Below are 16,388 nucleotides of genomic sequence, written 5' to 3' on the forward strand. Positions count from 1 at the left end.
AGAAGAGTGGCTGATGATGGCTGGGGATGTAGCCCCACCAGTAATACCTGACACTCTTGCATTTAGATAGGACTAAAACACACAGAAATAGATGCCATCTCTGAGGAGGGTAATAAGGATACAGCAAATCATCCCAACCAAGATACTACTTGGATAATTTGGATAATGTAGGTGTGGTATCCCAAGGGAATTCATTCCTGGTACTACCAGTTTAACACAGGCTTTTCAGGGAATAGACAACTTCAATCTGTATCATTATTATAAGCTGAATTTTTATTTTACTAAATTATCTATGTCAAAAAAATTCTGTGCCTGGCGTGGAATTTCACTCCATCAAGTGTTACAATGATTTTTTCATTTTCATTACAAGCAGGAGAATGAATGTAGGACAAGTGTTAGGAAACATGGCAATAAATTAGAATATAATTTACAAAAGCAAAAAAATTAACAGTGTACCACATTATTACTGAGTATAAAATAATAAGCAACAACTAATCACAATAATACAAAGGTAATTTCGTTCTGTGTTACTGAGGATACCTATGTGACATTCATTCAAACAAAAAAGTTCCTAATGAAATGGACTATTTGGAAATCATATGTATCTCACGGGGTTTAATCATTAGGGTACATTTACCGTTCCTTTTTTAGTAGGACTTTATCCCAGTGGCAGATACTGCTCCCAGGTGTAGGGTACCAGTTTCCCTGGGGTTCCCTAAGTAGTCTATGTAGCTCACTACTTTTGGAAGGTCTGCCATGGTGGCCCAGCCTCCACTGACAATGCTATTGTTATTATTTAGGAATAGGGCATCATGTAGCCATGGGGGTGGCTACAGAGTAGCAGCAGTATTGTGATGTGCTATGAAATAGAATTGTTTTAACCTACTCAGGTTTCAATTCAAGGCTTACTTGAAACTGTTTCATCCTGTTACATTCTGTGCGTGGCTCCCTCTAGAAAGGCACTCTGATGCTGCCCCGGGGGATGCCTGCATTTTGTTCTCAGTGCTGGGGCACATCCCAGAAGTGACACTGACTGCCCTCCTCTTCCAGCATCAGCCAAGGTGCTGTGCAGTGCCTGGGGGATGGCCCTCACAATGGTAGTTTCCAGGTGAGGTAAAAAATAGCTTTTAGTCGGTAATAAGAAATCTTTTTGAAATAAGAACATGAGCTGATATTTATGTTGGAGAAAATCAGATCTGGATTGCAAACCTATGCCTAAAATGCCACAGAAACTGCCCATCTTTTATTTATTTCACCAGGGCACATTAGCACCAAGTTAACTGTTCTTTGAAAAGGCGCAAGGGAATTCAGTGCTCGGGCCATACTACCCATGGGCTGTTTGCCCTTCACTGAATGGCTAAGACGGCACTTGGGCTGGTCTTCTAAGGGCATCTTAGATCCGGGCCCTGGTGATTCCTCTTGTATCATCAATAGCTCTCTCTGGAAGGCTCAGGGTTGAGAACTGTGGTGTTGAGAGAGAAAGCAGGTAACAAGATACAGATGGTCATGACTGAGAGTGCAGAAAACATTCCATGCTGATTGTCCACAGCAAACCTGGGAGTTGTTTAGATTGGCTTTTGGTGTCTGAGGGTCTGTCTTCCTTTTGGAAAAAGCCTAGTCATCTGCATTAGATCATGATATATGTGATGCACTGACATGTAATTTAAGAGCACCATGATGGAATCAAGTCAAACATGCTGTTTAACTGAAAGTATTAACCTTACAAAATAGCCATTTAGTTTTGAGTTTTAGGTGTTGGTGCATGCATGGTGTACACCTGTGTACAATGGGGAGGCATTTTGGACACAAAGCACATTCATCAAGAACCTGCTGCAAGCTACACGTGTTCAAGTAAAAAATATTAATATAAACAAGTACCCTTTTTCATTCTAAGTCTTGCTGTCGAGTCTTTTGATGACCAGGATGTGAAACTTGAAGATGGGGAAAATACGAGCTAGTCATTTTAATTTAGGTGGATGTGATTCCAGAATTTGACTTGCCCAAGAAACTGGGTTTCACATTTAATTGCCATTCAGAGTATCCATAAAAAATAAAAAATACTTGGTTGAGTGACTATTAAAATTATGCTTTATGATGTCTAGTCTTCATGAAATTTTCTTCTTTGGTTATTATCCCTTGCCTACTTTAAAACTCACAGAAATAGCACATTATGTGCAAGCACACTCATCTATCCACACACTTAAAAGCGCCCGCAAACACACACACACATTTGCTCTCATATAAATAAATGCCCTTCTACCATATCAAAGAAGGGACATCTGGAACTCATCGTAATTGTCAACAAACTGCAAAAGGGTCTGCCTGGTTACCGAGCCAGTCTATCTTTTGCATGGTATCATCTCAGTAAGCTCAACACACGTGCAGCAATCCAAAGGGCAGAAGCCGTGCTGTGGCTGGGGAGGATGTAAACACAAGTGAGTTGGAGGGACTCAAATAAGAACTAAGGCATCCTGTGTGGTGGCAGCAAAGGGCCTGGTCCTTTGGTCTGTACCATACCCCAGGTCTGGTTTCTGCATGAAATTGAAATGTTTTTCTCTTAAAGTTTTAATGGAAATCTCAGCTTTACTTGCACAATGGCAAGTTGGCCACAGTCTTTCAGCACTGAGTTTATAGACTTGCACAGCTGCAGTAACTGATGCACTGCTTTAAACTATGCCCCTCATTATTGTTCAGTTTAATATAGTTTTATATATGGCTCACAGCAGTGTTCAGAACCAGGGGATTATTCCTAAGGAAATTAAGTGGAATGAAGAAAAATAATACAAACTTTCATTACTTTTGATTTATAATTGCTCCTTAAATTATAGTTCAAAGCCCGTTTTATAATTTAAATTGTGGTGCTGTTGTAGTGAGATAAAGTACAGTAAATATTTTTAAGCTATGACTTAAGAATTCTGAACCTTCTTCACTTCCATAGTTGACCAAGTCATAACAGCTACATTTTAAACAGTTTTAAATACAAATGGATTCAGTGTCATTGCTAAGTCCATAATAAAAATTATCTTAATGGTCCAAGGAGGTAAACAGGCTATTGGATTTACTCGAAAGAACACAAACGCTCCACAGTAAGCAAGTCTCCCTGTGTTGTTTGGATCTCTCCAATCTGGCATTCCCTCCTAATACCGTGTCCAGCACTTTGGATCAATAAATCCCACTTCACAGAAGCTAAAATAATATTGAAATTTTGTCAGCTAGGGCTGACCAGTGGTTACGTTTTCCACAGGGTAATGCATTTGCAAGGACATCAATCCTCTTCCTCTGGGTGGCTCTCTTTGATGGATGCATTTCCATGATGAAATGACAAGGCACTCTCTCTGGCTTTCTGTGGGTCAGTGTCCTTGGCAGGTCTTACAACACATCTGTCTGAAGTATGCTCGACTGCAGAACTTGAACTTCAGCACCAGTGGGCAATAAGCCACTTTATTCACATCTTTGCACTCTAACGAATGGGGGCAGAAAATGGAAAACAATTAGAGGCACATAAACAAGTACATAAACAAGCCGATGGGCCTGCATGTTCAGCAAGGACCCCCTTTGGGCCAATCCACCTTGGCTTCGACCTCCATGTGGTTTTTGTTTTTGTTTTTAAGCATACCCTGCCTGGTACAGTCTACTAGAAATATTCTTTTGATATATTTTAACACAATTTAAAAAAATGTTTGCAAGGCTTTCCTTCCAGATTTTTATAAGTATGGTGTATGCCCACTGTGTCTTGAAAGAATTACCATTTGCTAGGATAAGTGATCACTTTAGACAGCTTGGAAACATGAGTCATTTTTCTTACAGCACTTTTATTGCTTCTTTCTCAAGGGTTATTTTATTCAACAGTGCAAGGTTATCCAAAATCAAACATGAGTTGCATTGTTTGATACCAAAGTACACGTCTCCAGAGAATCTCTGCATCTGTGAGGCGTGGGGATGGGCCTGGGTGAATGAAAAGGATTGCTGAGAGTGGCCTAGATTCAGCAACTACACTAGACAAAGAAGAAAGCTTTGAGGGGTTGGCCTCAAATGGCAGCAGTCTGTGGGTTATGGAAACATGTAGAAATGTCTTTTTTTAATTTGGAAGTGAGACATGGTCTTCTTTTTTCCTATGTGTATTTTCTCCTCAGTGCTAGAACTGCCACAGTTGCAGTCTGCAGTTCTTGCAGCCAGAAGGTGAATAAATGATTCTTTCTCCATCTCCCCTTGAGGCTGGTTGCAGAAGGTGGGATGAGGGTCCAGTGTAGAGAAAGGGACATGGGCCTTTGATTCTCAGAACTCCCCCTGGCTCCATACAACCCCACTGCTAGCAATAATATTCTTTTCCAGTATTCTGGTCACTTTTGTTTGGAGACTTTAGGATACTCTGTAAACTTAGTAATGAAATTTTCACATGCCTGCTAGAACCAAAGTTCCACCCTCATTTTTCCAGGTAGTTATACTGAAGCATCCTGGGTAAATTGTTGAAGGTAATTAGGAATCAGGCTGGGCAGTGGGTAATGTTCAGTGTTACAGACAGTTTTTGTTGTTTGCTTGTTTTTTCCTGGCTTCAAAAACCCACTGAAGTTCTAAGAGATCAGATACATTGTAGTTTATCACATGAGCCATATGATAAACATGGAAAATTAAGTACAAAGACATGGAAAAGTTCCCAGTTCTTATTATTGAATATGAAGATAACAATCTTATTGATCTCAATTTTTAAAGGCTCCTTTGGTGAAAGTCTTAAAATTTGAAACTGGAACTCCCAAATCCACTGAAAACATCTCTGCCACCACCCAGCTCCCTTACTCAACATTTCACTTACAAAGAGATTAATAGCTAGAAATATGAATTAAAACTTTTCACACCAGGATTCTCAGTAAATTTAAGTTTTAGCTGGAAGAAGGTAGAAGAGGGACAAATCACTTAACCTCTTTGTGCTTAAGTTTTCTCATCTGTAAAACAGAAATGATTAGAGAACCCACACTCAACGTGTAACATGTAAGACTACACGTGTATCCTTACGAACGTCAACTACAGCAGTGCCTGGAACACAGGAAGTATGGGATAAGTGTAGGATACTGAATTGCTATTATTATTACAATTATTAGTTATTAGTATCTTTATTGCCTGACAGAAAGGAAGCAAGGAGTTACTCTCCAAATATCTCAATGAGGATGCAATATTTGAACTACTACTAAGAAAATACTGCCCTAAAGACACAAGTCAGTTTGCAGACAAAACAAAGTGGAGTATTTCCTGGGGAACAACTTCATTAGATTTACTACTCCATTTTTAGAAGAGTAGCTGGACCAAGAAAACTCTGAGTTGAGCAAATTAGAAGTAAATTCACCAGTTTAAATTATAATACATAATGAATGAAATAGAATATTCATAAATTGCTTCTCCCTTCACCTGCCTACCCACCCACCCATTAAGGCTATTATAAATAGTTGGCCGGGCACAGTGGCTCACGTTTGTAATCTCAGCACTTTGGGAGGCTGAGGTGGGTGGATCACCTGAGGTCAGGAGCATGAGACCAGCCTAGCCAACATGGTGAAACCGCATTTATACTAAAAATACAAAAATTAGCCAGGTGTGGTGGCACACACCTGTAGTCCCAGCTACTCAGGAGGCTGAGACACAAGAATCACTTGAACCCGGGAGGCGGAGGTTGCAGTGAGCTGAGATTGTGCTACTTCACTCCAGCCTGGGCGACAGAGCTAGACTCCGTCTCAAAAAACAAACAAACAAACAAAAAACTCAAATATGAATAGTCAGGGATTTTGTTCCTTAGATGAGTGCTAGAAATAAGACTCTTCTCTACATGCAGAGGCCCAGAACACAGCCTTTTGTTCAGAGGCAGTATCTAGCCTGTGGGCAGGCTGGAGGCCAGCTATCAGGATGTTCCTTTCTGAACTTCCCAATACCCTTGTTAAGTTAGTTCCCACTTAACTTGATTGGAAGCAGGAAGTCCGTAGGTTCTGGGAACAGGATCAAGCTTAGGGACGTTGGGATTATGAGTGTCCCCTGAGTTGCCTGCAGCGGCAACACAACCCAGTAGTTAGGGGCAGGAGATCTGGATTCAGGTGGGCCTGGGGGTGAATTCTGGCTCTGCCTCTTCTAGGAGTTGATTGTCCTCTGCCAAGTTACTTCACCTCTCTAAATCTCAGATACTTCATCTCCAAAATAAAGACTATGATAAGGTCTGCTCATAGGATGTTGTGAGGTTTGCATGAGGTAATACAGATAATGCATGTGCCATGGCACCTGGCTCAGAGTAAGCATTGTTCATTAGTTCTCATTATTAACAGCAAAACATCTGCCTCTGAGAACAACTATCATGTATTATTTCTCTGGGATCCCTGTCAAAATAAATATAGTCTCAGAAAGGGTTACACATTTACGCATTTAAGCAAAATATCAGAAAGCTATTAAACAGAAAGCAAGAAAATTATGATGAGGGCAGGAGTGGGGAAAGACCTGTGGGAGATCTGGAGACTTCAGGACTCAAACATTAATATGGAGATTCCTAGGCTGTATGGAAGATCCGGTTCCTACTTCTTGGTTTTGCCTTCTAGGAACTGGCCTGACTAGAAGAATCAGTTCATTACATCTTTAGATTTGATGAAAATCTATTCACCAACCACGACTCATCTTTTATTCTCTTTTAACTCCACAAGAGCTTAATTTAGTAGTGACAGCATTAAAAATTATAATTTATCAAGCATATCATTTGTGTAAGGCACAACATAAACATATATTATATATATATGTTAATCCTTTTAAGTTCAGTCATGTGTTGCTCAATGATGGGGATATTCTCTGAGAAATGCATTGTTAGGTGATTTTGTCAATGTGCAAACATCTTAGAGTGTACTTTCACAAACCTAGATGGTATAGCCTATTGTACACCTGGGCTACATGGTATAGCCTATTGCTCCTGGGCTACAAACCTGCACAGCATATTACTATACTGAATATTGTAGGCAGTTGGAACACAGTGGTAAGTATTTGTGTATCTAAATATATAACATAGAAAAGATCCAGTAAAAATATAGTATTATAATCTTATAGGACCACCTTTGTATATGTAGTCTGTTGTTGACCAAAACATCATTATACAGTCCATGACCGTATATAAAATGTCAGCTTTATATAGACAGCAAAACATAAGCTCAAAAAGATTATGAAACTCATGCTGGGTCACACAGCTAGTTGGTCTAAGAACAGGTTTATCTGACTCCAGAGCCATTCTATTTCAGCAATATTCTTAGCATCTAAACGCAAGAAGTTTCTACCTGTCTCTGACTCTGTATTCTTGGCTGACAACACTGATAAATCAACTTGGAGCATCATAGTCAGGTTTCGTTTCTTTAAGAGTTTGCTGTTCCACCTTAGAGAAGGGGATCTATGTTTTTTAAAAGGAGGTTTCCAGAATAGCATCTGAATTATTTAGAATAGCCTGAATTATCCCTTTATACTTTTTGTCACTATATATTCCTCCTCAAATTTTGTAAAAGTACACAAGTGAAAAGGTGATTTTAGACACACCAAGAAGTTTTAAAGCCCCATTATTACAGAAAACTGAAAGTAATCTTCAAAATATTAGTACCAGTTTTAAATTATATTGGGGCATTCAACCCATCTACCACTTTTAGCTTAGCTAGAGAGGACTGATTTGCTGTGCTCATTGCAATTATGCTGATGTCGTTGAGAGGCCTTAATTATAAAACTTATTTCATTAATCTGCCTCATCCTTAAAGCCCAGTGAAATTATGAAAGCCTTTTCTCTTCTACCCTTGAGCAGTACAACTTACTATTGTTTAAAAAAAACACAAAAAAACGAAAACAAAACAAAACAAACAAAAAACCAAAAAAACAAAAACAAAAAACACCAAAAAAAAACCACCACCACCACCAAAAATATTCTGGAAAAGCTGTATATAAGTTAAATCACATATCCCATTGAAATTAAAACAATAACAAATGTTCTGTTTTAATTTCTGAATGATTTACAGTTGGCATTGATTTCTAGCTGATACTTAAAATGTTTAAAAATTCAAAATTCCTCTATACCCAAGTAGTGCATAATGTGCAGCAAATAAATAATACTAAGAGGTCCATTCAAAAGAATTACTTAGTTTCAGGTTTTTTTGGTATTATAATCACTCTGTAGTTAATTTGTTTTGAAGGTTTGAGCTTTACTGTCATACTTTCTTCATGCAAACACACTTATATCTATCTACTTACTGCTTTCTAAGTAGTGGAATCTAAGCCAGTGGGTCAAGGATTTTAAGATGAAGGAGGCTTATTTTCTCTTCGACTATCATCATGTACCAGCTAAGTACTCTCCTAGGAGAAGAATGACAAGACACCCTTTCTACCCTTTTCCTGTGAGGATATTGGAAAGGTAAGAGGTCCTTATCTTGTGGTTTCTAGTTAACATTTTGTAAACCTAATTATTCTCTCCTCTTTTTACACCCCACTCCACCCCTGAAAGAAAAGTTACACTTTACCCAGGACTAGAGACTTCTGGTGGGAATGACTTTACGGAGAATTCCCAAATTCTTCTCAGAGAGACTTGGGAAGACATCAAGGGCTGAAAGCCAGCCCCTAGGCGCTGAAATGTGAACTGGATCCATTATTAGAATCTGAAGTAATTTGCCAGGCATGCTGGAGTGGTTCTCATTGGTAATCTGGGTTTTGGTAGAGTTGAATGATAAAATTAGACAACCTGTTTCATAGGCAACACATGAATCTACTTAACATTGATGTGCCAATGAGTTTTTCCCCAGGTGCTTTACATTAATCTTTCAAAACTCTGACCTAAAAGACTTGCTTTCAAAATATACTGAATAGAGGTTTATGAATTTAGAATGCAATTAGATTCAGATTAATTGTGACTTTGAAGGCTTGATTTGGTCCAAGAAATACAAGACCAAGTCCTCAAATGCAGGGCTTTTGCATTTATGTCACTGAATGTTACAAAGCTTGCCTACTTGTCTCACTGGAGTTGGGAGATACCCTTCATGACCAGGTTGGACCATCAGCATCTCTCTTTGGAGAATGCATGCCCTCTGTTTCTGTAAACTCCTTATGTGGTTCAGAAGAAGAAAACAGTAAGTGAAGAGTTATGACTTAAGCACCTAAAGGTCTATCTTTTGGATTTAAAAAGTACAAACAGCTGTGCTTCTGACAAACTGCCCATGGAAATGCAGAACCTGATGAGAAGTGAGATAGCAAAGGTTGTGCATGCGTGGCACAGGAGTTGGGGTGGGGAATGTGAACTCAGTGTACTTCTCCTAATAAAGTTGTACTTGACCCCTTGACATTTTACATATTCAGACTAGAAAAGGATGAAATGGCAACTTTTGCTTGGGAACCTAACATTATTCATTGTAACAGAACAGTACACCAGCTTATTTTTATCCTTGAAGCAAGATGATATCAGCTATCGAACTTTACACTGATTTCAATTTCCCATAGACTAGACCATTCCTTTCTCTCTTTGCTTTCTCAAGTTTCTTTTTATTTAGTCTTATTCCCTGGATGCCACCCACATTCAACCTGGAGGTGGTATAATCTCAACCCAAATCCAGGGTTCCCTCCAGACCAGACAGCCAGGAATGTGAACCTGCATGCTAAGTGAATTACGAACTCTTTGAAGTGGTAAAGAAAAAAACTGGCCTTCCTCACCTCTTTGAAACCAAAGCCTTCAAATGACCTTTATCGTTCCTTTACTGATTTTAATACATCAGGTTCCACATTAAAACCCAAATGCAGTAGCTAGTTTGACCAAAATTCTTGGTTTGAGATTTCTGGAGCTGCCTAAGCTTTCCCAGAGCTATTTACATGAGGGAGTCTAAGAGCCACCAAAGCCACTATTAGACATCCTGGGCTGGTAAACCATTGTACACTAACCACACCTTTCCTGGATTGGTTACCAGCCCATGGCACACCATGAATCACGACCTGACAGCAATAAATACTCTGTGACAGAGTTCCTTGTACTATTGAGAAGCTGAAAAGACTCACTATATAAACTACAAGGGAACTTGAAACTGCATGAAAGATGAATAAAATGGCATTTTGGATAGAATTTCAGGTGAGCTTGAGGAGGTTAGTCCCAACTGACATATGTACTTCAAAAAATTACTCTGAGTAGTATTGCAAATGTACTGATACCCAGGGTGGCTTTAATTCACTTTTAGCAGCAACATAGTGTTACCCTCATCAGTGGCAGTCTGTCAAGATCATGCCTATAATGTTTTAACCCTTTGCCAAAGGCTTTCAGAAACAAAAAACTAAAGCAGATGTTGAACACAGCAAATTGTATCTCCCTTCTTCTTCCTCCCATTTCCCTCTTGCTATTTTAATTTTTTGAAACCCTGCTTCTGATTTCCTTATTATCATTTGTTGCTTGACCTCCCTCCATTTCTTCAATCTCTCTCAATTTATTTTATTTTTTAATCTTATTCAAATTCCATTATCTTATTAAAGCTTCAGAGGACTAATGTGTTTAATTTCCCTACAGATGCCTGAATTCCTTCATGATTAATGATGGTACACAGTTACCTAAATCTGAAATGTGGGAGTCATCCTGAACGCCTCCATATCTCTCATCTCCATGTCTAACTGTTCATCAGGCTCTTTTTATTCTCCTTTCATTTTATTATTTTCCCCCCAGTTCATCACTCTCCTTTTAATCCCTACAATATCTGCCTTAGTTCACGCCTCCATCCTCTCTTGCCTGGACTCTTAGAAAAATTCTTTCTCATTCTACTCCCACACAAGGCTGCCCTCCCTCTGCTTCGTTACCCTTCTGTCATCCTGAGCATATCAAACCCCAGTTTTTTTTCACTTGTTCCCTATAACCCAAAGATAGAGTCCTAGCTTCCTTCCACTACATGTGGAGTCTCCAAAACCAAGTCCCTGCCTCTCTCTCTGTAGCCTCATCTGCACTGCCTGCTCATCTCCCAACCCACCGCAGCGATAGCAAACTGCCTCCATGCCCCTGTGACTGCACACACTTGTCCTCTGTCAGGAATGCCCTGCATTTCAATGTCTTCTGGGTAAACTGTTTCCTACCTTCCATGTCCAGCTCAGCTTGCCTTCTCTGTGATGCTTCTGCTGATTACCTGCTCCTCTGTGCACTCATGGTCACTTCTTGCCACGCCTGGAACAGTACTGCTCATATTGTCAAAATTATTTGTATGTTGCCAATCCTACTAAACCTTTGAGAACAGGGAACCTGTTGTATTGCGTTCATAGTCTTGGTGCCTAGCACATGGTAAGTATGTTTGCTAAGTAAATAAATTAATGATTGGATGAATGTAGGATGTTATTTAAAAAATCATAAGCTTGAGGAATGGATGGGCAGATATATGCACATATATGAAAAAGCATGTTCAGTAAATGATAATGCTATGGTTTGGTGCAAAAGTAATTTCAGTTTTTGCCATTAAAAGTAATATAATCTAGATGGTGGATGTTCACTGTAAAATTCTTTCAGCTTTGCTGTATGTTTGAAACTTCTAATTTTTTTCATAATGAAATACTGATAGGAGGGAGACCATTACCCAAACCTTGGTAGTCAAAACAATTCTCAACATTCTATCTGTGGCCCATTTAATTCATAGAGATTCAACTGAAAGACTATTTTAGATCTCAATACGTCTCCCCAAATCCTGCCCTGTCTTGGGGTAGAGTTGAAGTGGTTTTTCAGTAGCCTCGTACTATGAGTCATGGGAATCTGACTGTGCTGGAGGAAAGGGGATCCTCTTCCACCTCTTCCACTCTCCTGCATTAACCAGAAACTGCTCCTTCTCCGACTTTCTTTTTTTTTTTTTTTTGAGAGGAGTCTCGCTCTGTCGCCCAGGCTGGAGTGCAGTGGCGCAATCTCGGCTCACTGCAAGCTCCGCCTCCCGGGTTCACGCCATTCTCCAGCCTCAGCCTCCCGAGTAGCTGGGACTACAGGTGCCCACCACCACGCCCGGCTAATTTTTTGTTTTTAGTAGAGATGGGGTTTCACCATGTTAGGCAGGATGGTCTCAATCTCCTGACCTCGTGATCTGCCCGCCTCGCCCTCCCAAAGTGCTGGGATTACAGGCGTGAGCCACCGCGCCCGGCCTCCAACTTTCTTCTTAACTTTTCCTTGCTAAAAGGCATTTCTTTCCTCCATTTTTTTTTTTTTTTTGAGACAGAGTTTTGCTCTTGTTGCCCAGGCTGGAGTGCAATGGCGTGATCTCAGCTGACCGCAACTTCTGCCTCCCAAATTCAAGCAATTCTCCTGCCTCAGCCTCCCAAGTAGCTGGGATTACAGGCATGTGCCACCATGCCCGGATAATTTTGTATTTTTAGTAGAGACAGGGTTTCTCCATGTTGGTCAGGCTGGTCTTGAACTCCTGATCTCATGTGATCCACCCACCTCAGCCTCCCAAAGTGCTGGGATTATAGGCGTGAGCCACCATGCCCGGCCTCTTTTCTTCCTTGATCTGCCTCCTACAAACCGTAACAGACCACGTTTGCATTATTTTCACACTAGAACCTCTTCTCTCTCTCTTTTTATTTATTTATTTATTTTGAGACAGAGTCTCACTCTGTCACCCTGGCTGGAGTGCAATGGTGTGATCATGGCTCACTGCAACCTCGACCTCCCAAACTCAAGTGATCCTCCTACCTAAGCCTCCCAAGTAGCTGGACTACAGATGCGTGCCACCATACCCAGCTAGTTTTTAAATTTTTTGTAGAGAAGGTGTCTCCCTATGTTGCCCAGGCTGGTGTCAAACTCCTGGGCTCAAGCAATCCTCTCCCCTTGGCCTCCCAAAATGTTGAGATTGCAGGCGTGAGCCACCGTGCCCGGCCTCCTTGTCTCTTTTGAAATCTATGTTATCCGTCCATTCCATATCTCTATGGATTAAAACTTGTAATTCAGCTCATAATGTTTTATTCACTTTTCCCAAGGTACACACTGGGTTTTTCCAACTATGTGTTATATAGATGGCTTACTGATTACTTAGTCTATGAAGCCTGCCTTGATGGAAAATGTTACCTCATTGGTCCTTCATTTGAGCACTTGTGCAAACTGCTCCACACAACACATTTCCCCTTCCTTTCTTAAATTTTTTTGAATTAAAAAAATTTTCATTTAAGTATTTGCCCTGAAAGACTATGAACTTATAAATATATTTAAATTTTCCATAATAAATAGCAGAGGCTGGCCACAGAAAGCATTCAGTAATTAGCTGCTGATTAAATGAACAAATAGTTTCAGATATTTAAATGCATTCCATATATGCTATTGGGAAATTAAAGGGAACACAAAACAAGTTATGACAGATGTATCATTTGTACTTTAAATCTAATTTTGTAAAGAGAGTTATCTTCTTTCTTTTAAATGAGTTGACAGCTTTAGATAATAATGATTCTAACATGAGTCATACTTTGCAGGATTAATAATTTCCTAAAAATTTCCTCCTTTACTGAGAAGTCTAAATATATTGTTTTTACTGCTTACTTTAGAATAATATTAATAAAAAGCGATTTAGCCAGGTAGATGAAATAACCATGAGGTGTTTCTCCAAATAACCCAAGAAACCTCAAATTAACACGTATCCATTTTAAGACAATTCCCTTAAGGCAGACATTAGCACAGGTACAAATGATATTCTGCCTACTCTGAAAATAGTTTTGAAACTTATTATACATAAACTGCAAAGTTTATCTATAATGATTATGCATTATAGAGAAGATTTTGGAGAAATTATTAAAATTGTCTGAAATGAAGGTATGAGCATAACTTCCACAGATATATTGTTTTAGGCATGTCAAAAGGCAGTTCTTTCAGCAATGACTTAGGCTTAATCTATTGAATTAGGCTGACAGTCATGCCAGAAATGTTTTACTTCAAAATCAGAAACTCTTGCTTTTATGTCAAAATACCCTACTTTAAAGACTAAATTAAGAATAGCATGCAAATATAGTTGAAATGGACAGGTACTTGGACCCTACCAAATGTGGGTTCAGATCCTGACTCTACTACTTCCTAATCTTTAAACTGGGCAAATCACTATCTTCCCCTGTGCCTCACTTTCTTCATTAATAATACCAACTCTTAGAAGCTTGTTGTCAGGATTATATAAGATACTACACACACACACACACACACACACACACACACACACACACTTGCAGAGAGAGATCTATTTGTGTATGTGAGATATATAAGACAGATAATATATATAAAGGGCCTAACATAATACCCAACACAGAATAATTTAATATGATAGTTATATCCTCTCTCCTACCTTAACCTTGTATCTTCCAATTCTGAAAGAAAAAGAGAACCCCAAACTCATGTGATCTATTGCTAACTTACAATGGATAAAAGAAATCATTTGCTGGAGTCTTACAGAAGACAGATTTTGTTCTGTTTTGTTTTGGGGGGGTTTTTCTGAGACAGAGTCTCAGTCTGTTGCCCTGGCTGGAGTGCAGTGGCATGATCAGGGCTCACTGCAGCCTCAACTTCCTGAGTTCAAGTGATCCTCCTGCCTCAGCCTCCCAAGGAGCTATGACTACAGCCACATACCACCATGCCTAGCTAACTTTTTTATTTTTTGTAGAGACAGTGTCTCACTATGCTGCCCAGCATGGTCTTGAACTCCTGGGCTCAAGTGATCCTCCCAACTCAACCCTCTGAAAGTGCTGAGATTACAGATGTGAGCCACCACACCCAGCTAAGAGATTTTTTTTTTTAAAGATAATTTAAAAGATAATTTTTTTCCAAGAAAAATACTTTTGTTTGTTATGGATTTTGAGCCCTTCTCAAGAGAGGGAAAGCTAGATTTCCAGAATCTAAAGGGACAAAAAAGAAGTAGCAGTAAAGCCAGAGATTCTGCAAAATTTAAAGTTGTGATTTTTAATTAATGTAGCATAGGGTTATACATTTTGAAAGAGTAAATTATGTGTATAATAAGTGCATTGTGTTGAGGCTTAAGTATAAAAAAACAGACCATTTGCAAAGATGCAAGGTGTCTGGATCTTGTCATACAAGATCACTTTCTTAAAATTCCCAAGAAAACACTTTTAAATAGTGAGTATTATTTTTAAGAATCCTTTGAATTAGACAGAGTTGATCAAAAGAAAGAGATCTCTCTTGAAGAGGTTTATAAACATATAGTTTTCACTTGAAAAATATTAACAAATTATTTGACTATATATTAATGATAGGTTTTTTCAGGGCCTTATAATTTAAATTTGCGGCTTCAGGTGTTGTTCATGTGCATATATTTGACCCTGCCTGTATTTTCATGTGAGAAGGCAGTCTAAACTTCTGCACTATGCCATGTTTGTCTTCACATTCTTGATAATTTCTGTCATAGTGACTCGCACGTAGTAGCATTCAAGCAATTCCTAATGAATGCCTAAAAGAATAAAGAAATTACTTTCATTTAAATAACAGATTTTAAAAAGTCACGATTGTGGCCGGGGGGTGGGGCATCTGCTGTTAATAAAGGGATTTCCCAATGAATAAAAAACAGACAGAGGGGGAGGAGCCAAGATGGCCGAATAGGAACAGCTCTGGTCAACAGCTCCCAGCGTGAGCGACGCAGAAGACGGGTGATTTCTGCATTTCCATCTGAGGTACCGGGTTAATCTCACTAGGGAGTGCCAGACAGTGGGCGCAGGCCAGTGGGTGCGCGCACCGTGCGCGAGCCGAAGCAGGGCGAGGCATTGCCTCACCTGGGAAGCGCAAGGGGTCAGGGAGTTCCCTTTCCGAGTCAAAGAAAGGGGTGATGGACGCAGCTGGAAAATCGGGTCACTCCCACCCGAATATTGCGCTTTTCAGACCGGCTTAAAAAACGGCGCACCAGGAGATTATATCCCGCACCTGGCTCGGAGGGTCCTACGCCCACGGAGTCTCGCTGATTGCTAGCACAGCAGTCTGAGATCAAATTGCAAGGCGGCAGCGAGGCTGGGGGAGGGGCGCCCGCCATTGCCCAGGCTTGCTTAGGTAAACAAAGCAGCCGGGAAGCTCGAACTGGGTGGAGCCCACCACAGCTCAAGGAGGCCTGCCTGCCTCTGTAGGCTCCACCTCTGGGGGCAGGGCACAGACAAACAAAAAGACAGCAGTAACCTCTGCAGACTTAAATGTCCCTGTCTGACAGCCTTGAAGAGAGCAGTGGTTCTCCCAGCACGCAGCTGGAGATCTGAGAACGGGCAGACTGCCTCCTCAAGTGGGTCCCTGACCCCTGACCCCCGAGCAGCCTAACTGGGAGGCACCCCCCAGCAGGGGCACACTGACACCTCACACTGCAGGGTATTCCAACAGACCTGCAGCTGAGGGTCCTGTCTGTTAGAAGGAAAACTAACAAACAGAAAGGACATCCACACTGAAAACC

At 40.2% G+C, this 16,388-nt stretch overlaps 1 protein-coding gene across 10 annotated transcripts in view; it reads right to left on the reverse strand.

The window, feature by feature from the left end:
* Positions 1–252: 252 nt before the first annotated feature.
* The window catches only part of ADAMTS6 (ADAM metallopeptidase with thrombospondin type 1 motif 6), a 333,183-nt gene continuing 317,047 nt past the window's right edge, over positions 253–16,388 (reverse strand). For all 10 annotated transcript variants that reach the window (NR_135689.2, XM_011543117.3, NM_197941.4 and 7 more), the window contains one exon: positions 253–3,460. Coding sequence is in view for 9 of the 10 variants with exons in the window: in XM_011543117.3 (XP_011541419.1) it covers positions 3,351–3,460 (110 nt within the window). In the remaining variant the exon portion in view is untranslated. The remainder of the gene's footprint in view (positions 3,461–16,388) is intronic.

The sequence above is a fragment of the Homo sapiens genome, chromosome 5 (genome assembly GCF_000001405.40).
Source record: "Homo sapiens chromosome 5, GRCh38.p14 Primary Assembly".
In the NCBI taxonomy this organism is placed as follows: domain Eukaryota; kingdom Metazoa; phylum Chordata; class Mammalia; order Primates; family Hominidae; genus Homo; species Homo sapiens.